The 27788-nt window shown below is 54.1% G+C and overlaps 1 protein-coding gene across 26 annotated transcripts in view, besides 4 other annotated features; it reads right to left on the reverse strand.

Moving 5' to 3' along the window:
• The window catches only part of FAM53A (family with sequence similarity 53 member A), a 111956-nt gene extending 84536 nt beyond the window's left edge, over window positions 1-27420 (reverse strand). For 4 of the 26 annotated variants that reach the window (XM_047449668.1, XM_024453912.2, XM_047449664.1 and 1 more), the window contains exons 1-2: window positions 25636-25716; window positions 10070-10308 (exon numbers count right to left, since the gene is read on the reverse strand). In XM_047449668.1, coding sequence (XP_047305624.1) covers window positions 10070-10144 — 75 coding nt within the window. In that variant the 5' untranslated portion in view covers window positions 10145-10308; window positions 25636-25716. The other 22 variants (XM_047449667.1, XM_047449656.1, NM_001297435.1 and 19 more) reach the window with 16 other exon arrangements.
• Window positions 25122-25221: a silencer, noted in NCBI's record as "silent region_15136". NCBI's record gives its function as "represses an Ori minimal core promoter by ATAC-STARR-seq in GM12878 lymphoblastoid cells {active_cell/tissue: GM12878}" and the evidence as "EXISTENCE:reporter gene assay evidence [ECO:0000049][PMID:35858748]".
• Window positions 25322-26261: a silencer, noted in NCBI's record as "silent region_15137". NCBI's record gives its function as "represses an Ori minimal core promoter by ATAC-STARR-seq in GM12878 lymphoblastoid cells {active_cell/tissue: GM12878}" and the evidence as "EXISTENCE:reporter gene assay evidence [ECO:0000049][PMID:35858748]".
• Window positions 26237-26856: an enhancer, noted in NCBI's record as "H3K27ac-H3K4me1 hESC enhancer chr4:1686561-1687180 (GRCh37/hg19 assembly coordinates)". NCBI's record gives its function as "activates a minimal SCP1, AML or CMV promoter by ChIP-STARR-seq in naive H9 embryonic stem cells {active_cell/tissue: H9 hESC(naive)}" and the evidence as "EXISTENCE:reporter gene assay evidence [ECO:0000049][PMID:30033119]".
• Window positions 26857-27476: an enhancer, noted in NCBI's record as "H3K4me1 hESC enhancer chr4:1687181-1687800 (GRCh37/hg19 assembly coordinates)". NCBI's record gives its function as "activates a minimal SCP1, AML or CMV promoter by ChIP-STARR-seq in naive H9 embryonic stem cells {active_cell/tissue: H9 hESC(naive)}" and the evidence as "EXISTENCE:reporter gene assay evidence [ECO:0000049][PMID:30033119]".

The following is a 27788-nucleotide window of genomic DNA, read 5'->3' on the forward strand; positions in this document are numbered from 1 at the left end:
CAGGGCGTGGTGGCAGCTGGAGGGTCTATAGGGAGGGCACTAAGGGAAATGCCACAGGGCTCTCTTCCCTACCCCATGAAGTGTCAGGGAGCTGCTTGGCAGGTCACGGCTTGGAGGCCATTAATGTGTCTGCTTCCACGCACTGGCCCGTGCAGGCGGGACACAGGGCCCTGCAGAGGATGGGGCACAGGAGGGGGGTCCTGCCGGGTGCCCGGCAAGCTCCCTAACCTCCCAGAGCTTCCTCGTCTGTGAGAACACAGAAGGCCACCCTGTGACAAGGACACGGCTGTCCCGCAGGGTCCGGGCACAGCAGCCCCTCTGCTTTTTTGCCTTAGAGTTGTGGGGCTCCTCTGCCACACCTCAGAACCTCTCAGTTAACGCCTAAGCCCATGGCATCACGTCCTATGATAACATTTCCAAACACGATAAAATTAAAAGGAAATCCTTCACTGCTTCCTGTAAAGGGAATAAGTTAAAAGTTGGGTTTGTGACCCCGAAAAAAGACAGGCCGCCTACACACGGGGTCCCACCTCAGCCAGCACGGCGGTGTGGAGCTGTGAGCACCCGGCCACACCATGAGGACAGGGCCTGGTGCGGGCCCGGGAACCACACGACCTCCAGGTTCTCCCACCCCGGGACCCGGGTCCGATGGAAGAGAGGAGAGGCAGCTCTGCTAAAGGACTTGAAGGCTTTCACGCCACAGGGACCCTTGTTGCTGTCGATCCTCCCAGCCCCGGGCCTCCCCGCAGCAAGCACCAGGACCTCGCTCTCCTCCTGTTCCGCACAGCACCCGTTCCCCGGGGCCACATGAACAGCACCCAGCTCGACGCTGCCACGGAAAAACGTCTAGCAAGGAAAGGACTTTCCCAGCCGGCACAGATGGCTCTCACGGGCAGCTTGAAGGAGCCACAGGCCCGCACGGTCCCAAATGTGACCACCTCTATGCAAAGACACGCCGGGGGCAGCAGCTACTCCCAGTGGCACTGGCCGTGTGGGATGTGGGTGCAGCAGACAAACAGAGCCAGGGTCCCCGGGAGACAGGAAAGGCTGGGCAGCCAGGTCCCACAGGCTCAGGCAGGGGGCTTGTCAAAAACACTTATTCCTCACAGTCCTGGAGGCAGAAGTCCAAGATCAAGGGACAGGCAGATTCAGTGTCTGGTAAGGCCACCTCCTGGTTCACAGACGGCTCTTCCGGTTGTATCTATGCATGGTCGAAGGGGCTGGCTTCCTCTCTGATGCCTCTCACATATGCGCACTTAATTCCATTCATGAGGGCACTGCCGCCATGACCTAAGCACCTCCCAGAGGCCCCACCTCCAAATATTCATCCCGTCACCTTGAGGGTGAGGACTTCAACATATGGGTTTCGGGGAATGTGAACATGCAACCCTTAAGCCTAAGGAAATCTGGACTTCAGGGCTGGGCACGGGGGCACACACCTGAATCCCAGCACGGCGGGAGGATCGCTTGAGCTCAGGAGTTTGAGACCAGCGTGGCCAACATGGTGAAACCCTGTCTTTACTAAAAATACAAAAATTAGCTGGGTGTGGTGGTGGGTGCCTGTAATCCCAGCTACTTGGGAGGCTGAGGCAGGGGAATCGCGTGAACCCGGGAGGCAGAGGCTGCAGTGAGCCGAGATCACACCACTGCACTCCAGCCTGGGCAACAAGAGCAAGACTCCGTGCAGAAAAAGAAGAAAAAAACGAAATCTGTACTTCAGGGCCGGACACAGGGAAATCCGGGAAATCCCAGCACTGTGGGGGCTGAGGTGGGAAGATCACTTGAGCCCAGGAGTTTGAGAACAGCCTGGGCAACACAGGGAAACCTGGTCTCTACAAAAAAAAAAGCAGATATGATGGCATGAGCCTGTCATTCCAGCTACTCAAGAGGCTGAGGTGGGAGGATTGCTTGGGCTAGGGAGGCCAAGGCTGCAGCGAACGACTGAGTGCACTGCGCTCCAGCCTGGGCAACACAGCAAGACCCTGTCTTTAAAAACCTAAAAGTTTTTAGGCTGGGCACGGTGGCTCACGCCTGTAATCCCAGCTCTTTGGGAGGCCGACACAGGCAGGTGACAAGATCAGGAGATCGAGACCATCCTGGCTAACACGGTGAAACCCCATCTCTACTAAAAATACAAAAAAATTAGCCAGGCGTGGTGGCGAGTGCCTGTAGTCCCAGCTACTCAGGAGGCCGAGGCAGGAGAATGGCGTGAGGCAGAGCTTGCAGTGAGCGGAGATCACGCCTCTGCACTCCAGCCTGGGTGACAGAGCCAGACTCCATCTCAAAAAAAAAAAAACTAAAAGTTTTTTAAAAACCAGCTCTCTACCAATCAATCCCAGCCTGTATCTGCACAGCTGCACAGGGCTGGAGGACACCACAGCCCGCCACCCACCCATACCGTGCCCGCCAGGCCAGCGGCACAGTGAGCTTCCCTGCGCCTACAGCCCCCAGCACAGCCCCATCACACCGCCTCCTCTCTCCCCTACCCTGACATTCTCAGCTCTCCCTGCTCTCCGCCCCTCAGCCCGGGAACTGCTGCTCTGGTCCTGGCTGCCGCGGCCCTCTACTCTGCCCTCTGGACTCCTGAGAGTCAGATCCCAGATGCCTGTGCCCCCAGGCTCCCACCCTCACAGGCTCCCACGGCCATGGGAACCTCCACCTGGCTGACTCCCCAGATGTCCATATGGCTCATCACCCACCTTCCAGCTCCACCCGGAGGTCACAGCCCGGCGCCCTATGTAAACTCCCAGCACCCCTTGGGCTCTACTTTTTTCCTGATGCACTATCGCGACTCCTCAGTCACCTGCTTCCCACCCGCCTCCCTGCAGGAAGTGAGCACCATATTGCTAACCCAGCACAGCCAGTGCAGCACAGACGCCCCAACGCGCTGAATGACCTTCACACGTGACCTTCAGGCCCTACCGCCTCCTGGCTGCTGTCCCGGGCTCTCTGGGGAAGCCCCAGCCAGAGCACAGTGAGATGCTGGCCCCACCCACCCATCCACGTCCCCCTCCCTGTGGCCCCAATGGCCTTTGCCCACCCCAACATTAAGACCCCGCCCATCTTCCAGCACTCAGCCACCATTACACCTCCAACCCTCTTTGCTGCTCCGGCAGCTCAGCGAGGCACCCGTGCCCACTCCCCTCCCACCGCCTCATGCCTGTGGTTACTGGTCGTCTGTGTAGGTCCCCCATGAGGACACAACCCTAAAAATCACGTCATGATTTGCATTAGGACGCAGCATTCCTCCACATGGTTACACAGAGTGCACCTCCATGCCACGGAGCACCTCTTGGTGGCGCAGAGGAACCGCCGGACGGATCTCCAGGGAAGCATGCTGATGGAAAGGCAGAACCCAAATGCTTGTGCACTGTGTCACTCCATTTACACACCACTCTCGAGATGACAGAATGACAGAACGGGGGAAGAAACCATAAAGAACTCTTACTGGCCAGGTGTCATGGCTCACACCTGTAATCCCTGCATTTTGGGAGGCTGAGGCGGGAGGACCCATTGAGCACAAGAGGTGGAAACCAGCCTGGGAAACACAGTGAGACCCCCTTTCTAAAAGATATAAATTTTTAAAAAATAGCTGGGTGTGGGGTGGGCGTGGTGGCTGTAACCTGTAATCCCAGCATTTTGGGAGGCCAAGGCAGGCGGATCACAAAGTCAGGAGTTCAAGACCAGCCTGGCCAACATGGTGAAATTCCATCTCTACTAAAAATATAAAAATTAGCCGGGCGTGATGGTGGATGCCTGTAATCCCAGCTACTCAGGAGGCTGAGGCAGAAGACTCTCTCGAACCCAGGAGGTGGAGGTTGCAGTGAGCCAAGATCGCACCACTGCACTCCAGCCTTAGCAACAAGGGCAAGATTCCATCACAAAAAAAAAAAAAAAAAAAAAAAAGCTGGGTGTGGTCACACATGTCTGTAGTCCTAGCTACTCAGAAGGCTGAGGGAGGAGGATCACTTGAGCCCAGGAGGTCGAGGCTGCAGTGAGCAGTGATTGAGACCCTGCACTCCAGCCTGGGCAACAAAGCAAGGCCCTGTCTCAAAAAAAAAAAAAAAAAGGGTTCTTACAACTCAAAAATAAAAAGAGAAATAACCCAATTTTAAAGTAAAAATGGGATTTCATTAGATATTTCTCAAAAGAAGAGATACAAATGGCCAATGAGCACATGAAAATATGCTCAACATAGCTAACCATAGGGAAATGAAAATCAGAACCACAATGAGATACCACTCCACACCCATGCAGGTGGCTTTTATCAAAAAAATGGACAATAACACGCGTTGATGAGAGTTGGAGAAATTAGGGCCAGGCACAGTGGCTCATGCCTGTAATCCCACCACTCTGGGGGGCCGAGGCAGGCGGATCACGAGGTCAGGAGATTGAGACCATCCTTGCCAACACGGTGAAACCCCGGCTCTACTAAAAAAAAAATACAAAAAATTAGCTGGGAGTGGTGGCATGCGCCTGTAGTCCCAGCTACTTGGGAGGCTGAGGCGTGAGAATGGCGTGAACCTGGGAGGCAGAGTGAGCCGAGATCGCGCCACTGCACTCCAGCCTGGGCGAAAGAGCCAGACTCTGCCTCAAGAAAAAAAGAGTTGGAGAAATTAGAACTCTCATACATTGCTGCAGAACGGAACATGGTACAGACACTGTGGAAAACAGTTTGGCAGTTCCTCAAAATGTTAAACATAGAATCACCATATGACCTGGCAATCCCACGACTAGGTTTGCACCCAAAAGAAATGAAGACCTACTTCCACACAGAAACTCATACATGAAACTTCCACACAGAAACTCACACATGAATGTTCACAGCTGCATTATCCCTAATAGCTAAAATATGGCAACCACCCAAAGGTCCAAAAACAGAGGAACGGATGAGCAAATGGTGGTCTCTCAAACACGAACCTGATCGAGCTTCGAGCCTCACAGCACTGCCTGCGAGAACATTCTGTGGTGAGGGACAGCCAACAGGCTGTCCACCACGGCAGCCACCAGCCACCCAGAGACAGTGAGCACTAGAAGTGTTTCTGGTACAAGTGAGAAACAGCATTATGTGGGTTCCACTTTAACTGTAGGCTGGGCGCAGTGGCTCACACCTGCAATCTCAGCACTTTGGGAGGCCGCATAAGGAGGGTCACTTGAGGCCAGGAGTTAGAGACTAGCCTGGGCAACACAGCAAGACCCCGTCTCTACCAAAAACATTCACAAATTAGTGAGACCCTGTCTTTAAAAAAAAAAAAAAAAAGCTAAATCAACTTTAATTTCAGTTTAAAAATCTATGTGCAACTAGAGGAAACCATAAGGGGCAGGGCAGTGCTCACTCCAACCAGCAACTCCCAGAACACACATGGGAGGGGAGCGCACGAGGCGGCAGCCGGGGCATGCAGCCTGGACACTCCGGGACAAGCAGCTGGGTCCTCAACACACAAGCTCCAAGGAGCACCCTATGGGGAAAAGGGACATGAGACACCCTGAATCTGGACTCCCTGAACAAATTCTTAAACTCAGACAATTGGAGAAGTTTGAATGCTGACCGGATAGAGATATTAAGGAATCTCTGAGAGTTTTAGGTGTGAAAATGACATTCTGGTCATGTGTCTTAAAGTCTTTATCTTTTGGAGATACAGAGTGAGATATTTACAGAGAAAGTATGTCTAGAATGCGCTATGAAATCATGGCAGGAAGGGACTGGGTAAAGGCGCAGATCAAACAAGGAGCCCTGAGCTAACAGCGCCCGCCTCGCTTGCTCACTGAGGCCGGGCCATGGGTATGTATGAAGACATACTTCCACACAGAACCTCATACATGAATGTACGAGTTGCTACTCTCTAGAACTGTCTACACTTATTTTTCATAAAAATACTATTTTAAGTCACCTTTGAAAACATCAGTTTCTATTTTTATACAATGAATTGGCTATTTAAAATACTGACTTGTTTCCTTGAATGTTAGAAGTAACTTGTGTTTAGATATTCAGTTGACATGGGAGAGCTGGTCTCACGTGTAAACAATCTATCACTGAGTAACTGGGTTTCCTCAACACAGGCAATCACACTGTCCGAATTACACAGATTAAAAATCCTGGCCAGGCACGGTGGCTCAGGCCTGTAATCCCAGCACTTTGGGAGCCTGAAGCGGGTGGATCACCTGAGGTTAGGAGTTCAAGACCAGCCTGACCAACATGGTGAAACCCTGTCTCTACTAAAAATACAAAAATTAGCTGGGCTTGGTGGCATGTGCCTGTAATCCCAACTACTGAGGAGGCTGAGGCAGGGGAATCGCTTGAACCCAGGAGGCGGGGGTTACAGTGAGCCAGGATCGCACCACTGCATTCCAGCCTGGGCAACAGAGTGAGACTCTTGTCTAAAAGATAAAATAAATAAATAAATGAAAAATAATTTTTTAAAAAATCCTGATAAAGGCTGGGCATGGTGGCTCATGCCTGTAATCCCAGCACTTTGGGAGGCTGAGGTGGGTGGATCACTTGAGGTCAGGAGTTCAAGACCAGCCTGGCCAACATGGTGAAACCCCATCTCTATTAAAAATACAAAAAAAATTAGCCGGGCGTGGTGGCGCATGCCTGTAGTCCCACCTACTCAGGAGACTGAGGCAAGAGAATTGCTTGAATGCGGGAGGCAGAGGTTGCAGTGAGCCGAGACTGCACCACTGCACTCCAGCCTGGGTGACAGAGCAAGACTCCATCACTTTAAAAAAAAAAATTAAAAAATAGGTTGGGCATGGTGGCACACCCCTGTAGTCCCAGCTACTCGGGAGGCTGAGGCGAGAGAATCGCTTGAGCCCTGGAAGCGGAGTTGCAATGACGTGCGATCACTCCACTGCACTCCAGCCTCGGCAACAGGGCAAGACTCCATCTCAAAAAAAAAAAAAAAGTAAAAAGACTTACATTTAGGGATAAAAAGGTTTGTCCTCCTTTTTCAGATAGAAACCACCGCCATATTCACAGGCCGTGTTTTAAGAAAACAGGAGTCATTGGGAAAAACCATCTTCGACAGCAACAGACTCAACAGTGGCCCTGGCTGGCCACTAACAGAGCCGGCAGGGTCAGCAGGAGCAGGAGCAGGCTGTGATGGAACCCCCGTGACCACTCACCCTGTAGGGCTCCCAGGGCTCCTGTCCCAAGGCCGAGGCCTACCAAGGAACTGCCTATGCTGCCTTCTCTGTCAATGGACAAGTGCTCCACAAAGAGATGAAGAATGGGAGGGAGGGAGGAGGCAGGGGCTGAAGAGCTACCTACTGGGTACTGTGCTCACAACCCGAGTGCAATATAGCCAAGTGACAAACCTGCACCTGCACCCCCTGTATCTAAAATAAAACCTGCACCTGCACCCCCATATCTAAAATAAAACCTGCACCTGCACCCCCTGTATCTAAAATAAAACCTGCACCTGCACCCCCTGTATCTAAAATAAAATCTGCACCTGCACCCCCTGTATCTAAAATAAAACCTGCACCTGCACCCCCTGTATCTAAAATAAAACCTGCACCTGCACCCCTGTATCTAAAATAAAACCTGCACCTGCACCCCCTGTATCTAAAATAAAACCTGCACCTGCACACCCTGTATCTAAAATAAAACCTGCACCTGCACCCCCTGTATCTAAAATAAAGCCTGCACCTGCACACCCTGTATCTAAAATAAAACCTGCACCCCCTGTATCTAAAATAAAACCTGCACCTGCACCCCCTGTATCTAAAATAAAACCTGCACCTGCACCCCCTGTATCTAAAATAAAACCTGCACCTGCACCCCCTGTATCTAAAATAAAACCTGCACCTGTACCCCCCTGTATCTAAAATAAAAGCTGAAAAAAAAAGAGGTGAAGAGTGGCCACCTAAAGCACAGAGGTCGTGGGGGCCCGTGGGTCACCCCACACCAGGACATCCGTCCAGACACCTCCCAGGCCCGGCAGGCATGCTGCGTAGCCACCTCCCTGGAAAGCTGCGCACGCCCTGGCTGACGTCCACTTGCCAAAAATGTCCTCAGAGGCACACAGCCATCTGATAGGCATGTGCCGCTCTGTATCCTTTGGTCTTGGTTAGAGACACCTTAAAAATGTTTTCTCCATTTAATCAAAAGGAAAAATGGGGCCAGGCGCAGTGGCTCACGCCTGTAATCCCAACACTCTGCAAGGCTGAGGTGGGCGGATCACTGACCAGCCTCGCCAACATGGCCAACATGGTGAAACCCCGTCTCTACTAAAAATACAAAATTTAGGCTGGGTGTGGTGGCTCACGCCTGTAATCCCAGGACTTTGGGAGGCCGAGGCAGGCAGATCATGAGGTCAGGAGCTTGAGACCAGCCTGACCAACATGGTGAAACCCTGTCTCTACTAAAAATACAAAAATTAGCCAGGCCTGGTGGCGTGCACCTGTAATCCTAGCTACTCAGGAGGCTGAGGCGGGAGAATTGCTTGAACCTGGGAGGTGGAGGTTGCAGTGAGCCGAGATTGTGCCATTGCACTCCAGCCTGGGCGACAGAGCAAGACTCCATCTCAAAAAAAAAAAAAATACAAAATTTAGCCGGGTGTGGTGGCGTGTGCCTGTAACGTTAGCTACTCGGGAGGCTGAGGCACGAGAATCACTTGAACCCGGGAGACGGAGGTTGCAGTGAGCTGAGATGGTGCCACTACACTCCAGCATGGATGACAAAGCAAGACTCTGTCTCCAGAAAAAAAAAGAAAAAATGAGAACCGGCCACAGCATCTGGAAAGAACATGGCTCTGCAGCCAGCAAGGCACTGAGACATCAGGCAAGCACTGCCTTCCCCGCCTCGGCCACCTCCACCCGTGGACTGACAGCCGGAAACGTACTAATTACAGGACACAGCCAGCGCTGCCACGGTCACCTCAGTCACAGCGGCCCTGAGTGCCAGGCCCCACAAGCAGTGCTTGCGAAGGTTCAGGCCACATGCCACCTCCCACAGCCCAACACCCACACTCGCCAGCTCTCGGGAGGAGAGGCTTCAGCTTGGACCCTCAGACCCTCACTGGAACCCCCTGCGGTGAAGATGGGTCACACGTGCCCAGTCCAAAGGCCCGAGACCCACAGCTTTCCCTTCACCCTCTCATTTCCGTAACACGCAAGGGGCTACAAATGCAACGTGCCCACGTCTCCAGAGCCACAGCCAAGCCAGGCCCAGGATAGGCAGGCGCTCCAAGCACCCCTGCTGGCTCTGAGGGCCTGGCAAGACCCTCCAGGCTAGACATCAGCCACCTCCTTCTGGATCTGCCATCTAACTAGGGCGGGGGGGTCCTGAAGGTGGCACATCCAAAGTTCACTTCACCATGACTGTAGGAAAATCAAGCTGCCCGCAGGAAGCTAACGTGGTGATCAAATCCAAGACAGAGGCTCCCTTGGGAGGCGCGGCTAGGAGGGGAGGGACAGGGAGCCTGGCGGGGTGCAGTCTGCTGCTTGATTGGATGGTAACAGGCACACCTGCGCTTGGGGCTCCAGCTTCTGTGTGTAAGTCAGCCTTTCAGTAAAACTCTATTTTTTTAAATAGCAAGTCAAGGCTCTTTTTTTTTTTGAGACGGAGTCTCGCTCTGTCCCAGGCTGGAGTGCAGTGGAGCGATCTCGGCTCACTGCAAGCTCCGCCTCCCGGGTGCATGCCATTCTCCTGCCTCAGCCTCCCGAGCAGCTGGGACTACAGGCGCCTGCTACCGTGCCCGGCTAATTTTTGTATTTTTAGTAGAGACGGGGTTTCAACATGTTGGCCAGGCTGGTTACGAACTCCTGACCTCAAGTGATCTGACCGCCTTGGCCTCCCAAAGTGCTGGGATTACAGGCATGAGCCACCACGCCCAGCTGGCATTTTTAATAAGTCTATTTTTTTTTCAATGATGGTGAAAATCCGCTGTGATTACACTGATGGGCTCTGGGGCCCACATGTGCACCAGACACCCCCATCCCTGGCCCAGCAGGGCCCCCCAGGCCCCTGAGAACTTAGCCCTCACCTCCACCTCCCAGTGTGGCCATTCCCCTGTGACAGCACGGGGGAGGGGCACCCAGCCTGGTGCCACCTGCAGCTGCTTACCGGGCCAGCCTCCGCCTTGCAGGTGAGGTCGTCCAGGCTCTGGCTCTGCAGCTTCTCAGTGATGAGTGTGACCATGGTCGGGGCCCCGTGTCCTCCGTCCACACCAACAGGCACTGGAGTCCTGGAACATCAGACTTGCGAAGGCCCCAGCATTGCTGGGTCAGCCAAATCTCAAGGTCATGTCTCCACTTTCTTTACAGATGAGCAGTCCACGCCCACGGGCTCTTCAGGATTTGTGCCTGTTTCTCAGAAGAGAGAAATCATCATGTGATTATACGCAAAACCATTTTGTTGATGTTTCTGCTACATGTTGGGTCCCCTCTGTATAAAGTATTTCTGATATCCCACCTCACAAACACCCTCCCATTTTCAAAACTACCACGCGAGTTCTCTTCTGGAAAATCTAATCACGGTGGTCTTCTGGCTAAAGGCAAAGACACACATTAGACCCACCCGCCCCGGAAGCCTCAACTGAAAGAAGAAGATAGGCCACCCCAGGCCTCTGCTCCAAAAAAGAGGAAACAGGATGGGAGATGATGGCAAGGACATTCTGGAAGCTGGGAAGCTGCTGGAAAGCCAATATCAAGCCAGGAACACAGAAACTCTGACTACCCACCCCCTTCTGCTCCAAGTGGCCAAACACCCCTCCCGCTCCCATGCCAGCCAGCTAGGCAAGCGCTCCACACTGAAGCTGGGGCACAGGAAGCCTGCCAGGGTCTGCACCTGGCGTGCTGACAGCAAGGGGCCGGCGGAGGAAGGGCGAGGGCTCAGGGGGTCTTTCAGGCTCTGAGCTCTCCAGCCTCAGGAGTGGGCAGATCCGTCTGTACTGCAGGCAGAGGCTGCGGGGCGGCCCCAGGGCTGCTCCCAACAGACACCAACCAGCCGAGGTGCCCAGCAAGGTGGCCCTGCACCCAGCGTGTCCCCAAACTGCCCCGGCTTTGACCCTTCTCAGGGTCCCACTGTTGGGTGTGAGCAGCTGCCAAGGACACCTAGTTCAGACCCAACAGAGGCCAAAACAGACAAGGTGCAAACAAGCAAAACCAGCAACTTGGAGAAGAGTGCTAGGTGAGAGGGCAAGGCCTTCCTCAGCAGCAGCCCTCTGCCCTCGGAGTGATACGGCACCTCCATGAACACCAGGACACCCTCAAAAAGGAACTTCCAGAGAAAAAGAAGAGTGCCTGGGAATTAAGACAGCAGTGACGGAACGTCCACACAACCTCCAGGGTGTGCGTCCTCAGCTGCCGCCCGGCTTCAGTTTCCGGCCAGTCTTCTGGGGCCCACAGACTGCTCCTAGGCAAGGATTAAGGGCGGACAGGACGCCAAAGCCCAGGCCTCACCACCACCAATGAAGGCAACCCGTAGGCAGCACCGCTCAGGAGCATCTGCCCCAAAAGCCTGGCACGTGGGAGCCACGTGAGCCGCCCCATCAGAAGGACCGCCCGGCCACGTGGGCCATGCTAGGAAGGCAGGCGGCATCCAAGTTCACTACACCTGCCAGTAAAGTAAAAGGGCAAAGGAGACTCACACGCACACTTCTGCCAATGCTGGAAAGGTTTCAACACGGTTCGATACCTGCGTTCCACGCTTAAAATGTACACACACAACCGCTCTCGACAGAAACCAACATGCACTTCCCTAGAGCCCAAAAGCCAGCATCTTCCTGAATGAGGGCCAGGGCAAAGGCGCCACCACCAACACAGCAGCGACGCGCACAGTGGGCCACCCAGCCTGGCTCAGAGCCTTCCCGTCACCAGGCACAGCCCCGCTGCTGCCAGGTCCAGGGGACTGGGCAGACCAAACCCAGGCAGGGTCTGTGCACAGGTCCTGACGGGTGCCACCCACCCATGGGGCTGTTCCAGGCCAGGGGACACACCACATCAGCTAAAGGCTGTGCCCGCCTGGCTCACTGGATCTGAAATCGCGTGCTCAGCACTGACCACTCCCACCACCCTCGGCAGCCACCACTGTCATCTCCAGCCCACAGCCAAGAACCCCAGACTCCAAGAGGGGTGTCGTGCACTGGGCTAGGGTCAGCCGGGCCCACTTGTGATGCTTCAGAAGGAGGCCTCTCCACAGCAGTGGCTCCATTCAAATTGTCTCAAACTAAGGAGCACAAATCAGAGCCAGCCACACTGCACACCCCACGCTGGTCGATGTCAGCTGGGGAAAAACCACCAGTAACTGGGGTGCCAGCTCACAGCCACAGCCCAGACTCACCTCTGTCCCAGCGTCAGAGCCCCCAGCTCACAGCCACAGCCGGGACTCACCTCTGTCCCAGCGTCAGAGCCCCCAGCTCACAGCCACAGCCACGGCCCGGACTCACCTCTGTCCCAGCGTCAGAGCCAACAGCTCACAGCCACGGCCCGGACTCACCTCTGTCCCAGCGTCAGAGCCACCAGCTCACAGCCACAGCCACGGCCCGGACTCACCTCTGTCCCAGCGTCAGAGCCACCAGCTCACAGCCACAGCCATGGCCCGGACTCACCTCTGTCCCAGCGTCAGAGCCACCAGCTCACAGCCACAGCCCGGACTCACCTCTGTCCCACCGTCAGAGCCCCCAGCTCACAGCCACAGCCACAGCCCGGACTCACCTCTGTCCCAGCGTCAGAGCCACCAGCTCACAGCCACAGCCACGGCCCGGACTCACCTCTGTCCCAGCGTCAGAGCCCCCAGCTCACAGCCACGGCCCGGACTCACCTCTGTCCCAGCGTCAGAGCCACCAGCTCACAGCCACGGCCCGGACTCACCTCTGTCCCAGCGTCAGAGCCACCAGCTCACAGCCACAGCCACAGCCGGGACTCACCTCTGTCCCAGCGTCAGAGCCCCCAGCTCACAGCCACAGCCACGGCCCGGACTCACCTCTGTCCCAGCGTCAGAGCCACCAGCTCACAGCCACAGCCACAGCCGGGACTCACCTCTGTCCCAGCGTCAGAGCCACCAGCTCACAGCCACGGCCCGGACTCACCTCTCTCCCAGCCTCAGAGCCCTCACAGGATGGGGCTCTATGGCTGACAAGCCAGCCTCCCTCCCTAATCCCACCAACCACTCCTGCAAGGTGAGGGGCCAGCTCCCTTCACACCGTGCACCACGAGGGGCTGCACACCCACCTTCCAAACCCTCCTGATTGCACAAAGCACACACACAACCCTAGAAAGGCAACAGCAGCCACACTATAACTTGAAAAAATAATAACTAGGATTTTATTTTAAAAACAGGCCTCACAGTCTGTATAGAAACGGCTGATTTCAGGGCTGGGGCAGGGAAAAGAGCTGGAGCCTGTTGAGGTACAGGAAGTGAGGATGGCTCCCCAGCAGCCTGCCTGTGACACAGAGCAAAGCGAGCAGCAGTGAACACAGGCACCCAGGAACCCATGAACCTCAGAACCCAGGAACCCATGGACCCACAGACCCAGAACCCACGAACCCACGAACCCAGGAACCCACAGATCCAGGAACCCAGGGACCTAGGGACCCAAAGACCCAGGTACCCACAGACCCAGGAACCCAAGAACCCACGGACCCACGGACCCAGGAACCAGGAACCCACAGATCCAGGAACCCATGAACCCAGGAACGCACGGACCCAGGGACCCACAGACCCACAAACCCAGGAACCAGCCACCCACAGACCCAGGAACCCATGAACCCATGGACCCACAAACCCAGGAACCCATAGACCCATGGACCCAGGAACCCAGGAACCCACGAACCCACGAACCCAGGAATCAGGAACCCAGGAACCCATGGACCCAGGTGAGGTGGGGGTGGCGGGAAGCGCCTCCTCACGGGGTGGTGGGGAGCCACTAGTGAGTGCAGAGAGAATGAGGGAAATGCTTTAAAATCACCACTTGACCAATGTCCCAACACAACAGTCTCAGGCAAGATGCATCCATGATGCTGGACCCGCAGAGAACGTATGGCGAGAAACAGAGCTCACAGCCTCAGAGTGATCCCCAAAAGATGCTCGGCAGCCACCAAGGAAAAACAGTAACAGCAGGTTTGCCCGGAAGGCACCTGAACCCAGCGATCAATGTGAACACCCCGAGAGCCTCCTGTGAGGTGCCCAGGACACAAACACAGGAACCTGAATTTCCTTTTTTTTTTTTTTTTTTTTTTTTTTTTGAGGCAGAGTCTTTCTCCATCGCCCAGGCTGGAGTGCAGTGGTGTGATCTCGGCTCACTGCAACCTCCGCCTCCCGGGTTCAAGCGATTCTCCTGCCTCAGACTGCCAAGTAGCCGGGATTACAGGCACACACTACCACACCCAGCTAATTTTTGTATTTGTAGTAAAGACAGCATTTCGCCATGTTGGCCAGGCTGGTCTCAAACTCCTGACCTCAGGTGATCCACCCACCTCAGCCTCCCACAGTGCTGGGATTACAGGTATGTATCACCACCACGCCTGGCCTGGAACCTGATTATTTAATTCTGAAGAAATGTCAGACAATCTCAAAACAGGCCAACTCTACAAAATGACCAGCCAGAGATCTTCAGAAGCATGGAGTCAAGAAAGAGCTCGACGAGGCCCTGCCCAGACTGGAGGGGGTCCCAATGCAGCACGTGACCCTGGGTCAGAAAAACGGCAGGGAGGACATGTCCCAAATCTGCCTCAGCACCGTCAGATGCCAGCACCATGCCACACTGATGCCACACTCCTGGCTGTGACTACTGCCTGTGGTCACGTGTGATGTGAACGCCTGGAGGGTCTGCACGCCCTCGACAGAGAAACGATGACGTGTGTGCAAGAGTCACACGCTCATAACTCACAGACTTTAAAACATCAGACAGGCTGGGCGCGGTGGCTCATGCCTGTAATCCCAGCACCTTGGGAGGCCGAGGAGGGTAGATCAGGAGGTCAGGAGATCGAGACCAACCTGGGCCAACATGGTGAAACCCCATCTCTATTAAAAATATAAAAATTAGCTGGGTGTGATGGCGCACACCTGTAGTCCCAGCTACTCAGGAGGCTGAGGCAGGAGAATCACTTGAACCGGGTGGGGCAGAGGTTGCAGTGAGCCGAAATCACACCACTGCACTCCAGTGTGGTGACCGAGCGAGACTCCGTTTCAAAAAAAAATCAGATAAAGTGTGCCCGCCAAGCACCAGCCAGGGCAAGTGTCCAGCAGCGCCAATGCGGAGCACCCAGCAGTGTCAAGGCAGCAGCTCTGGCACGCGGGAGGCGCATGCAGCGCGGGAGGGACCACGCCTACTGCCAAAAGCAGCTCCCTGCTGGGAGCCCAGGAGACGACGGGGATTGTGAGTGCTGGGCAGGGAAGAGACCCTCGTGTGGAACATGCATTTCCTGCAGGAAGGAAGGCGTTAGTCAGGTCATCACCGACACGTGTGTTGGCTTCCAAGATGCCAGCAGGGCCGTTATAACAATCTCCCATAACTGAGTGGGCTTCAAACAACAAAAGTTTACTCTCACAGTTCTGGAGGCCGGAAGTCCAAAACTGAGGTATCAACAGGTGCCTCCTTCTGGAGGCTGAGGGGGAACCTGTTCCAGGACTCTCTCCAGTTTCCAGGGGCTCTGGGAGTCCTCGGCAGTTCCTGGCTTATAGCTGTACCACTGCAATCTCTGCCTCTGTCACCATGCGGCCTTCTCCCCAGCGCCACAGAGTCTCTGTATCGCTATCTCTTCTTATAAGGACACCAATGATTGGGTTAGAGCCGACTCTAATCATATGACTTCATCTTAATGTACATTAATTGCAAAAGCATCTGGCCGGGCGCGGTGGCTCACGCCTGTAATCCCAGCACTTTAGGAGGCCGAGGCAGGCAAATCACAAGGTCAGGAAATCGAGGCCATCCTGGCTAACACGGTGAAATCCTGTCTCTACTAAAAATATAAAAAATTAGCTGGGTGTGGTGGCACGTGCCTGTGGTCCCAGCTACTTGGGAGGCTGAGGCAGGAGAATTGCTTGAACCCAGGAGGCGGAGGTTGCAGTGAGCCGAGATCATGCCACTGCACTCCAGCTTGGGCAACAGAGTGAGACTCTGTCTCAAAAAAAAAAAAAAATTACAATAGCATCTGCAAAGACCCTATTTCTAAATAAAGTCACATTTGCAAGTATTAGGGGTGCAGACTTGAACATAACCTCCTGGGGGATGCGATTCCACACACACAATGTCAGGCCCGTCTCCCCTTACAAGAAACTGAGCCATGAGGATGCAGCACCAGTCACGAGGCATGATGGACAGCAAGTCCCTCCCCCTTGGCAGTTCTGAGGCCAGTCTCCAGTCTGCGTGAGGGAAGTCTGGGGAAGGAGCAGTTCAGGACCAGAGGAAGCCCCTGCCGGAGCTGGGAAAGCCCAGAGATACAGAAACAGTGACGGATGGTGGCAGTGAGAAGGATGCCGTAGGACCCCACCATGGCAGGACAGCCTTTTCGAGGGGCGATCAGAGAGGCCCCTCTAAGGCAGTGACATTGAAGCCAGGACTGAAAGCTAAACAAGAGGGTCCCGGAAAAGGAGACAAAGGCCAGGACAAGTGGGAAGAGACCTCTGGGTTCCAGGTAGATGTAGAAGAGACGTGGGAAGTGAGAGAAACCTGGCTCCCGCTGCCAGAACTCACTGTCCCTGCCACCAACAGGTGAGGAGTGGGACCCAGCAAGAACAAAGAGGACATACCACCTGAGCTCCGGGAAGCACAGCCGGCATCAGGCATCCCTTGCCCCTACTCCAGGACCTCTCGGCGCCGGCCCCTCCAAACAGGAAGTGGTCCCTCCCAAGCCCACGAGCACTGCCCTGAGCCCAGGTGATGCCTTCTCCCCACACTAAGTGGGCTCACTTCAGAGGACGGCTACAACGAACTCACTTCCACTTTTCTGGCATTAAGTCGCCGTCCTCGCTCCCAAAGGCTCCTTGTAACTGCACCGTAAATCCCTTCCTTGTAACTGCACTGGTGACTTAGCCGACAACCCCAGGAGGTTTCCCTGCCTCTCGTTCCACCTCTGCACCCAGCTCAAGCCTGATCCTCAAGGTCTGGAGGACCGCAGCAGCCTACACTCATTCCCATACACTGGGCAACCCTTGGCCCGACCTCAGCGGAAAGCAGATCACAATGCTCTGGCCCCCAGAAACAGCCTCCTCAGCCCTTAGGACAGAGGCCAAAATCCTCACCCTGGTCCTCCAACTCCCCCATCTTCTCCCCTCGCTCCCCAGGATCTGGCCACACCAGTGCCCTGCAGACCCCTAGGAGGGTCAAACCCAGAGCTGGAGCTCCACGGGGGCAGCAGGGACGAGCCCCCACCACAGGCAGTGCCTCAGCTCAGATGGCCGCCTCACGGGACAGCGGCAAAATGCCCTCGGCTGGCGGCTCTGGCCACTCTCATTCTCCAGGACTCCATCCTCCAAAAAGGCACCAAAGCAGGTTCGATTTTTCTGTGTTTTAATTTAATTCGATCCACATGCAGTCAGATACAGCATTTGTAGAGCCATGAATTAGCTTCCTATAACCAAGAATCACAAAGTGGTGGCTTAGGACAGAAACGCACTGGCCAGCCGTCCTTGGAGGCTGGGAGTCCAGGACCAAGACGCCAGCAGGGCCATGCCCCTCTGAAGGCTCTGGGGAGGGACTGATCAGGCCTCCCTCCCGGCTCTGGCATCACTCCAGTCTTCCCACCGCATTCTCCCTGCGTGTGCCTGTGTGCAAGTCTCCCCATTTTATAAGGATATCAGTCATTTTGGGGCAGGACCCACCATGCTCCAGTGTGACCCCATCTTAACTCATTACATCTGCAACAACCCTATTTCCAAGTAAGTGCACATTCTGAAGTACTGGGGGGGGTCAGGACTTCAACATGTGACTGTTGGGGCCGGACCTCACTCAACCCCTAAAACAAGCTGTATTTTATTTCACCACGGCGACACACACAGGGTGCTGGCTTACAAACCAATACTGAGCTACTCCCAAACGTGCAGAGGCCTCACCCCTGCCACTCCACAGTGGCCACTTCCACCCCTTCAGCCCTGTCCTTGGGTACTTACTACACCCATGCACACAGCCCGCAGACACTGCTGCTCCTGGACTGTGCCGCAGCGCGCCCCTCTGAGCATCATCTGCTGGCTTGAAGGCACGTCACGGTGTATCTCTTTGCCAACACAGCCCCACCCCACACCTCCCAATACGGCCGTGTGAACATTTTGTCAAGTCATCGCTGACATTATCACGTCACTATAGTGTTTCCAGTTAGGCCACACAGTGGGGTCTGTTCTCCAAAGTTCATAATTCCTTCCTTTTTACAAGTGCAAAGTTTCTGCCTAGTATAAACTCTTGCCCCAATCTCCCCAGCAGATTTATAAACCTCCTAGGAATAAGCCCTTTGGTCAAAGACATCAGGACACCTTCAGCCCTTTTGCTCCTGGAGTCCCACCTTGTGCTCAGCACTGGCGGGGCTGTGCTCTAGCCCACTCGGGGCACCCCTCCCCCTCATCTTGCAGCTTCCTGAGAAGGGGGGCACGTGAAGACCACACCTCTTCTCTCCTCCACTTCTGTAAGAAGCCCACTCCCAGGATGCCTGCTCAGCTTTCAGGGTCTTCTCTCGCCCCAACTTTAGAAAATGCTCAAGGCGCCTCAAGCAAGGTCTTCCTTGGTCCAGAGACCACGTCCTTCCAGCCTGGCTCATGGCGCACTCTGCACCCCACCCTGGTCTGCATCTCCGTCTGTTCCTGGACTCCGTGTCCCACGCTTGCTGCTGTTGCCGCTGTTCTAGGATCTATCCTCCGCTCCTCCAACCCTTCCAATGACGTGTGTATGCTTCACCCCCAAGGGCTCCCTCCTCTTCTCCAAATGCCCATGTCGGGACCTGTCTTCACGCTTATCTCTAAGCCTACATATACAGGGCTGCTTTTCATGGGGGGTTTTAAATTACTTTTTCTGGTCCCTGCACTCTGTATCTCAGCTCCCTTAGTCTTCTCTGCTTTTCCTGGCTTCTGCTTTCACACTGGAGGTTTCCTCTGATGTTGCTCACTCTGGCTCTCCATTCACACAGAGAGGGAAGAGCTGTCAACACGCTGTCTCACTGCAGAGGGATACAGTGGCCGTGTCCTCCCTTCAGATGGCAAGAGAACTCACCCTGAGACCAGCCTGGCCAACATGGTGAAACCCCATCTCTACTAAAAATACAAAAATTAGCCGAGCGTGGTAGCAGGCGCCTATAATCCCAGCTACTCAGGAGGCCGAAGCAGGAGGTTTGCTTGAATCCGGGAGGCAGAGGTCGCAATGAGCTGAGATTGCACCACTGCGCCCCAGCCTGGGTGACAGAGTGAGACTCCATCTCAAAAAATAAATAAATAAAGTTTATACAGAGAGGCAAACAACCCAGAATAGCCCACATGATATTACAGGAGAAGAACAAAGTTGGAGGACTGACACTATTCAACTCTAAGACTTATTATAAAATTGCTGTCATCAAGACCGTGTGTGCCCAGGCACAGCGGCTCACAACTGTAATCCCTGTACTGTGGAAGGCTTGGGCCCAGGAGTTCAAGACCAGCCTGGGCAACATAGCAAGACTCCATCTCTACATAAAATTTTAAAATTACCTGCGTGACTACAATCCTAGCTACTTAGAAGGCAGAGGTGGGAGCACTGCTTCAGCCCGAGAGGTGGAGGATGCAATGATCCATGATTGCACTGCTGCACTCCAACCTGGGTGACAGAGCAAGACCCTGTCTCAAAATAAAAAGACAGTGTGGGATGGGCAAAAGAACAGACAATTGTATCAATGGAACAGGCAGAACAGAGAGCCCAGATATAGAACCACACAGTCACTGATCTTTGACCAAGGAGCAATGGTAATACAATAGAGAACAGAGAGTCTTTTCAACAAGTGCTGCTGAAAAACTAGACATCCACAAGAAAAAAAGACATGAGGCCGGGTGCGGTGGCCCACGCCTGTAATCCTAGCACTTTGGGAGCCCGAGGTGGGTGGATCATTTGAGGTCAAGAGTTCAAGAGCAGTCTGGCCAACATAGTTAAACCCCACCTCTACTAAAACTATAAAAATTAGCCAGGCGTGGTGGCGTACATCTGTAATCCCAGCTACTCGGGAGGCTGAGGCAGGAGAATCACTTGAACCCGGGAGGCAAAGGTTGCAATGAGCTGAGATCACACCACTGCACTACAGCCTGGGCAACAAAGCAAGACTCCATCTCAAAAAAAAGACATGGAGTGTATGGACCCCCTTCATGAAAACTAACTCAAAATGGATCACAGACCTAAAGTAAAAGGCAAAACTATAAAAATCCTACTAGATAGATAACACAAGAGAAAAATATAGATGACTTTGGGTTTGGCGATGACTTCTGAGATACAACACTGAAGGCACGATCCATAAAAGAAAGAATTGTTATGTTGAACTTCATTAAAATTAAAAATATCTGCTCTGCAAAAGACACTGTCAAGAGAATAAAAAACAGTTCCAGACTGAAAGAAAATATTTGCAAAAGACTTATTTGACAAAGAACCATTATCCAAAATATAAAAAGATATTTTAAAATTCAACAATAAGAAAACAACCCCAGCCTGGCCAACATGGTGAAACCCCATCTCTACCAAAAAACTACAAAAATTAGCCGGGCGTGTGGGCACACACCTGTAATCCCAGCTACTCAGGAGGTCGAAGTAGAAGAATCACTTGAACCCAGGAGCTGAGGTTGCAGTGAGCCAAGATCATGCCACTGCACTCCAGCCTAGGTGACAGGGTGAGACCATGTCTCCAAAAAAAAAAAAAAAAAAAAGGCCAGGTGCAGTGGTTCATGCCTGTAATCCCACTTTGGGAGGCCAAGGCGGGTGGATCAACTGAGGTCAGGAGTTCGAGACCAGCCTGGCCAATGTGGTGAAACCCCATCTCTACTAAAACTACAAAAATTAGCCTGGCGTGGTGGCACGCACCTGTAATCCCAGCTACTCGGGAGGCTGAGGCAGGAGAATCCCTTGAACCCAGGAGGCGGAGGTTGCAGTGAGCCAAGATAGCACCACTGCACTCCAGGCTAGGCAACAAGAGGGAAACTCCATTAAAAAAAAAAAAAAAAAAAAGAACCCAACCCAACTAAAGAAAAAATTGGGGCAAAGACTTTCACAGACCCCTCACCAACTGGGGCCGGGTGTGGTGGCTCACGCCTATAATCCCAGCACTTTGGGAGACCGAGGCGGGTGGATCACCTGAGATCAGGAGTTCGAGACCAGCCTGGCCCACACATCGAAACCCCATCTCTACTAAAAATACAAAATTTAGCTGGGCATGATGGCAGGCGCCTGTAAGCGCAGCTACTCGGGAGGATGAGGCGGCAGTTGCAGTGAGCCAAGATCGCACCATTGCGCTCCAGCCTGAGCGACAGGGCAAGACTCCGTCTCAGAAAAAAAAAAAAAAGTCCGGGCACGGTGGCTCACACCTGTAATCCCAGCATTTTGGGAGGCCGAGGCAGGTGGATCACCTGAGGTCAGGGTTCAAGACCAGCCTGGCCAACGTGGAGAAACCCCGTCTCTACTAAAAATACAAAATTAGCCGGGCATGGTGGCACATGCCTGTAATCCCAGCTACTCGGGAGGCTGAGGCAGGAGAATCATTTGAAACCAGGAGGCGGAGGTTTCGGTGAGCCGAGATCGCACCATTGCACTCCAGCCTGGGCAACGAGAGTGAAACTCCGTCTCAAAAAAAAAAAAAAAAAAAAAAAAAACACACCACTACACACAAGGTACCACTACACACCAATTAGAATGTCCAAAATCCAGAACACTGACAACACCCAAGTGCTGAGGAGGATATGGAGCAACTGTGTACATGATCCAGCAATCCTGCTCCTTGGTATTCACCCAAAGGAACTAAAAACTTATGTCCACACAAAACCTGCACACAGATGCCCATAGCAGCTGTATCCATAAGTGCCAAAACTTGGAAACAACCAAGATTTCCTGTAGGTGAGCAGATAAAGTGTGGTACATCCAGACAGTGTAATATTATTTAGCACTAAAAAGAAATGAGCTATGAAACCACCAAAAAATACAGAAGATATTTAAATGCATGTCACTAAGTGAAAGAAACGGGTCTGAAACGGCTACGTATTGTATAATTCCTACCATATGGCATTCTGGAAAAGGTTAACTGTGGAGACTATTTAAAAAAACAAACAAAAAAAAAACCGTGGCTGCCAGGGGCCAGGGGTAGAGAGAGGTGAGGCAGGGCACAGATTTTTAAGGCAGTGAAATTATTCTGCATGATACTATAATGGTTGACAAAGGTCATTACACATTTGTCTAAATCCATAGACTACAACACCAAGAGTGAAACCTGATGTCAACTATGGACTTTGGATAATAAGCATGTGTCCATGTAGGTTCATCAACTGTAGCAAACGTACTACTCCGGTGGGGGATGCTAGTCATACAGGAGGTCCTGCATGTGTGAGGGCAGAAGGTATAGTGTCTAGCAACTCGATTTTTTTTTTGAGATGAAGTTTCGCTGTTGCTGCCCAGGCTGAAGTGCAACGGCGCGATCTCAGCTCACTGCAACCTCAGCCTCCCGAGTTCAAGTGATTCTCCCACGTCAGCCTCCCAAGTAGCGGGGATTGCAGGCACCCGCCACCACATCCAGCTATTTTTTGTATTTTTTAGTAGAGACGGGGTTTCGCCATGTTGGCCAAGCTGCTCTTCAACTCTTGACCTCAGGTGACCTACCCACCTTGTAGGGTCCAGCCCCACAAGGTCGATGGGTTTCTCCCCGTGTCTCAGCCTCCCAAAGTGCTGGGATTACAGGTGTGAGCCACCACGCCCGGCTGAACTCGCTATTTTTAAGTGCACTGAAACCACATTCGAAGTGTTCCTTTTGCAACCCAACAAAGGAGAAGAAACTCAAATCTTTTTTTTTTTTTTTTGACATGAAGCCTCTCTCTGTTGCCTAGGCTCACTGCAGCCTCCACCTCCCTGGCTGAAGCAATCCTCCCACCTCAGCCTCCCAAGTAGCCAGGACTACAGGTGCACACCACCATACCCAGCTCATTTTTTATTTTTATTTTTTGTAGAAATGGGGGTCTCACTATGTTGCCCAGGCTGGTCTCCAACTCCTGGGCTCAAGTGATCCTCCTGCCTCAGCCTTCCAAAATGCTGGGGTTACAGGTGTGAGCCACCAAGCCTGGCCAAGAAATTCAAATCGTAAAATGAAGATTATCATTGTAACCACTCCACTGGTGAGAACAGGCTGCACCATATCACCACATGGAAAAAGATAAACTGCACCAAGTAATTTCATTGTGAGGTAAAGAACACAAGGTGAGCTCTGGACAGCTGCACAAAGCCCCGGGTTCAGACACCAGTTGGGCCCACTCACTAGCCAGGCCAAGGAACTTCACCTGGACAAGTAACCGCCTCTCCAGGCCTGGGTTCCTTGGAAACTGAAAATGAGAAGAAACCACCCACTTCATGAGGCTCCAAGGAATCAGATTAAACTACATAACACATGTGAGAGTTCCTGAGTCCCTGACACACATTTTCAAATTATAACCACTTAATAACAAATGCTTAACAGATTGTGAAATTCAATTTTTCTTTAATATCATTGCAGAAAATGCCAAAAGAGTTTATATAAAAATTTTTAATTTCCTTTTTTTTTTTTTTTTTGAGACAGAGTCTGGCTCTGTCATCACGGTGGCGTGCAGTGGCGCCATCTTGGCTCACTGCAACCTCCGCCTCCTGGGTTCAAATGATTCTCCTGCCTCAGCCTCCCGAGTAGCTGGGATTACAGGCACGCACCACCACACCCAGTTAATTTTTCTATTTTTAGTAGAGACGGGGTTTCACCATGTTGGCCAGGATGGTCTCGATCTCCTGACCTCGTGATCTGCCCGCCTCGGCCTCTCAAAGTGCTGGGATTACAGGTGTGAGCCACCGCGCCTAGCCTTAATTTCCTTTTTTAGAAAAACATTTTCCCTGTTCCCAATGCACCGGTGAAAAATACCTGTTTTCTTAGTTCTTTTATCTACCAGCTAAAAATGTGTACTCTCTCGGATTAGAGCCTCTTCCTATTTCTGTTTCCTGTGCACATCATTGCATGTGAGCAACTACCTCTATAACTAGAAAGGCCTCACTATAGAGCAACTACCTCTATAACTAGAAATGCATGCACTAAAAAAAAAAAGAAAAAATTACTTTGGCATTTTCTCTTATATACTTCAAGTGGTAACAAAAACGTTCTGTGGTCCCCACGTGCAATCTAAGAAACATAAGGACGCATCCAAAGGGGCGGGACAATTACCAAGGCCTCAGTGAGTGTGACCCTCAAAGTCGCAACACAGAACACAACAGAGGGACAAAGCTGCAGAATCAAAAGCTCTAAGTTCACGGGACAGCACGGGGAATCAACTATCAAGCCACAGAAGGGGATCAGGACTGCCAGTACCCAGCGCACAAGGAGGACTCAAGGAGGCGGGACAATGGCGCCGGACGAGGGAAAACTACAATTGTCTGAAAGAACTACCACCTAGTTTTCCTGCGCTAACTAACCCAATTTAAAGAAAAGTCACTGTTTCTAAACAATGTCAGTTTCCATTTTGGGGTAATATTGAAGAGCTTCAAATAAATCAAAACCGTTTCCCAGCCTACCTTCAGGGTGCAAGGGTGCACTTCCCTTCTAGCACCCACTCTGATGAGGGAGAAGGTCAGGCGACAGGAGGGTGTTTAAAGCAGCATCAATATGTTCAGGTTAAATTTCTTAAATATTGTGAAACGGAAGCACATTCTTTTCCTTTTCTGTTTCGTTTTAAGACTAGTCAAGTGCAGTAGTGAGAAAGGGGAAAGAGTGGAACAAGGAGTTCGATCTGTAATGGACTGAACAAGCAACAGAGAAAACTCACTCCCTTGGCACCAGCCACGAGCACATTCTTGAAGCCAAACTCATCCATCCGTACTGGGAGATAGATGATCATAGAAACATCAAGTGTGAGTCTGGTTTGAGTTTAAAACGAAAAGTGCTTTAGAGTTATGGAAACTTAGCTTCAAAGAAGAGGCACCAAGGATGCCGCGCGAAAACTCACGAGGCCACTTAACACAGGCTGCGTGGGAAACAGGGGCTCCGCGACTGCGCTCAGATTAACGGAAAAAGACACCCCTCTAGAGTCCGGCAGCAGCGGGCGGGCACCGGCGCCTTCTCCACACAGGAGAATCTCGGCGATTTACACCCCCAGGCTACGCAGAAAAAGCGGCTTCGGAATCCGCCGCAAGTCCCCTCCTCGGGTCGCCGGGGAAGTCTGGCCTCCCGCGTCTGGGTCCCCTTCGGGACGCCCCAAGGCCCCGTTTACCACGGCGACTCCCCGCCTCTCGCGCCACCGAACCACGGCGCGGGGCCACCAGGGCGGGCCTCGCCTCGTGCGGAAAAGTCGCCTCGACGGGCGGCGCAGACGGCGGAGGCAGGGGGACGTAGTCCACGCGCCCAGCTCGGAGCGCAGGGCCCCGCGCCCACGACCGCCCGCGCCCTCCACGTGCCGCGGGCAAAGCTCGGAGCCGGTGCGCCGAGGAATGGGCAGCGTGGACAAGAGAGGAGGGGGCGGCGGCGCGCTCCGCCCGGGCTCGGTACCTGAGCGCGGCCGCGGGGGTGCGGAGCGAGAAGACTGCCGGCCGCCCAGGCCCCGCTCGCTCAGGGCGACGCGCCTCAGCCGCGGCGGAACAAAACCGCGGCCGCCGCCCCGCCCCCTCCGGCCGCCCTCATTGGCCGCCCGCGCCCCGCCGCCGCCGCGAGCCCGTCAGCCGCCGCCTTCTCCACGCCGGCCCTCAGCCGCGCCGCGCCGACGGAGGGGGCGGGGCCTCCAGGCGCCCAGGCTCGCACCGCCCACCGAGTCCGCAGCGCGCCCTGTGCGAGGGTCTGGCCCCGCCCCCGGATCGACGCCCCGCCCCCTGCGCGCGTGCGTGCCTGGCACTCGGCGGCGTCCTCCAGGCCTAGAAGGCAAGACCTGTGGCGGCGGCGACCTGAGGCGGCGGGGCAGGACGCGCAGCGAGGAGGGCCCGGTCGGCACTAGCCGTGGCTCAGGCGGTGACCCAGCCCGGGGCGCGCGGTCTCGGGGCCCGAGGCTCGCCGCCGCCGCCTTCCCGCCTGCCGTCTGCCCGCTGTGTAGCCGTTGGCAGGTCGCTCGCCCTCTCGGGTCGCACTTCTGCACCTGCACAGTGTGAATTAGGCCCTCGCTCATGGTCGCCGAGGGCGGACCGTGCTGCAGGGCTCCTTCTGGCGATAGGCGGGGTTGGGGCCTGGTTCCGTCCGAGCACAGCAGGCCCAGGGAGACCGGACTCTTGGGGGGTCCCTAGGGATGAGCACCCTGCAGAGGAGAGGGTGGCGGGCAGCGGAAGGAGGCCGTGCCCCGCTCTCGGGGTCTCCAGCAAATTCCCAGGAAGGGGGTCCCTGCCTCCCTCTCCAGCCTCCCGTGCTGGGGCTCGGGTGTGTCCTGGCTGAGATGAGCCGCCTGACCCAGGGCGGGCCTCTGACGGCCAGGTGTGCTGGCCCTGGGCTGTGTGGATATCCGCCGACTCTGGAGATTCCACTGAGGTAGGGCGGGATTTATTTCAGACCAGATGATTTCTCAAAGGTGCAGGAGAACAATGCTCCCCACCCCTGGCGAGGGGCCCCTGGGGTGGGAGGGGCCTGAGGGACCCTGCGGTCCAGTGCCTCCCCATGTGCGTCCCCTGAGGGTTTGGTGGGGGTGGGGAGAAGGGGTGGTCTGACGGGAGAAAGAGCTACCTGTGTCCCCTGGCCACCGTGGGGCTCGGTGGCCACGTCCCACAGTGGACACTGTGGGCAGACAGATGCATGGAGGCCGGCTGGTTCCGGGAATAGGCTATGGGTGAGGCCATGCAGCACCCCTGGGGCTGGATGCTGGGGGAGGCATCGGGGCTCCCAGGGGTCAGGCTGGGGCCTCCCAACAGGTTCTGGGCCTGGTAAGGCTAGTCCGGTGCAGGCTGCGAAGCCAGGCCAGCTGACACCAGGACTGGCTGGAGTCAGCCTCACCTGTCTGGAAGAGTGGGAGTCCCAGCGGGGCTGGGGAGGGGAGAAGGGCTGGAGCAGGCGTCCAGGCCATTCTCTTCGCTGGGGTCCGGTAATCCCCCACCTGCAACAGTCAGGCTGTGCTGGCCAGGTTACCCAAAGACAAGTGTCTTTGTGACATGGACCAGAGCAGAAAGTGGCCAGAAGAGGATGAGGGCACCTGTGCCCGGGGCGAGGCTCTGCCCATGGCAGCCCCTCCTGAGCTGGGTTTCCATCCTGGCCCCTGTGGACTGGAGACAACCACTTCAAATCACAAACGTCAGAGCTGTGTGACTGATTAACTTATATCTACCCACCCCTCTCAGCCATTACTTGGATAATTATTAAGGGCTTTTAGTGGATTAAGAAATAGAGTCAGCCGGATGCGGTGGCTCATGCCTGTAATCCTAGCACTTTGGGAGGCCGAGGCGGGTGGATCACCTGAGGTCAGGAGTTCAAGATCAGCCTGGCCAACATGGTGAAACCCGGTCTCTACTAAAAATACAAAAATTAGCCGGGCGTGCTGGCGGGCGCCTATAATCCCAGCCACTTGGGAGGCTGAGACAGGAGAATCGCTTGAACCTGGGGAGCGCGGAGGTTGCAGTGAGCCGAAATCACATCACTCCAGCCTGGGGGAAAGAGCGAAACTCCGTCTCAAAAAAAAAAAAAAAAAAAAAAAAAGACAGAAATACGAGTCTGTGCCCCTTTAAAGTAATGTC

The sequence above is a fragment of the Homo sapiens genome, chromosome 4, assembly GCF_000001405.40.
Source record: "Homo sapiens chromosome 4, GRCh38.p14 Primary Assembly".
Classification (NCBI taxonomy): Eukaryota; Metazoa; Chordata; class Mammalia; order Primates; family Hominidae; genus Homo; species Homo sapiens.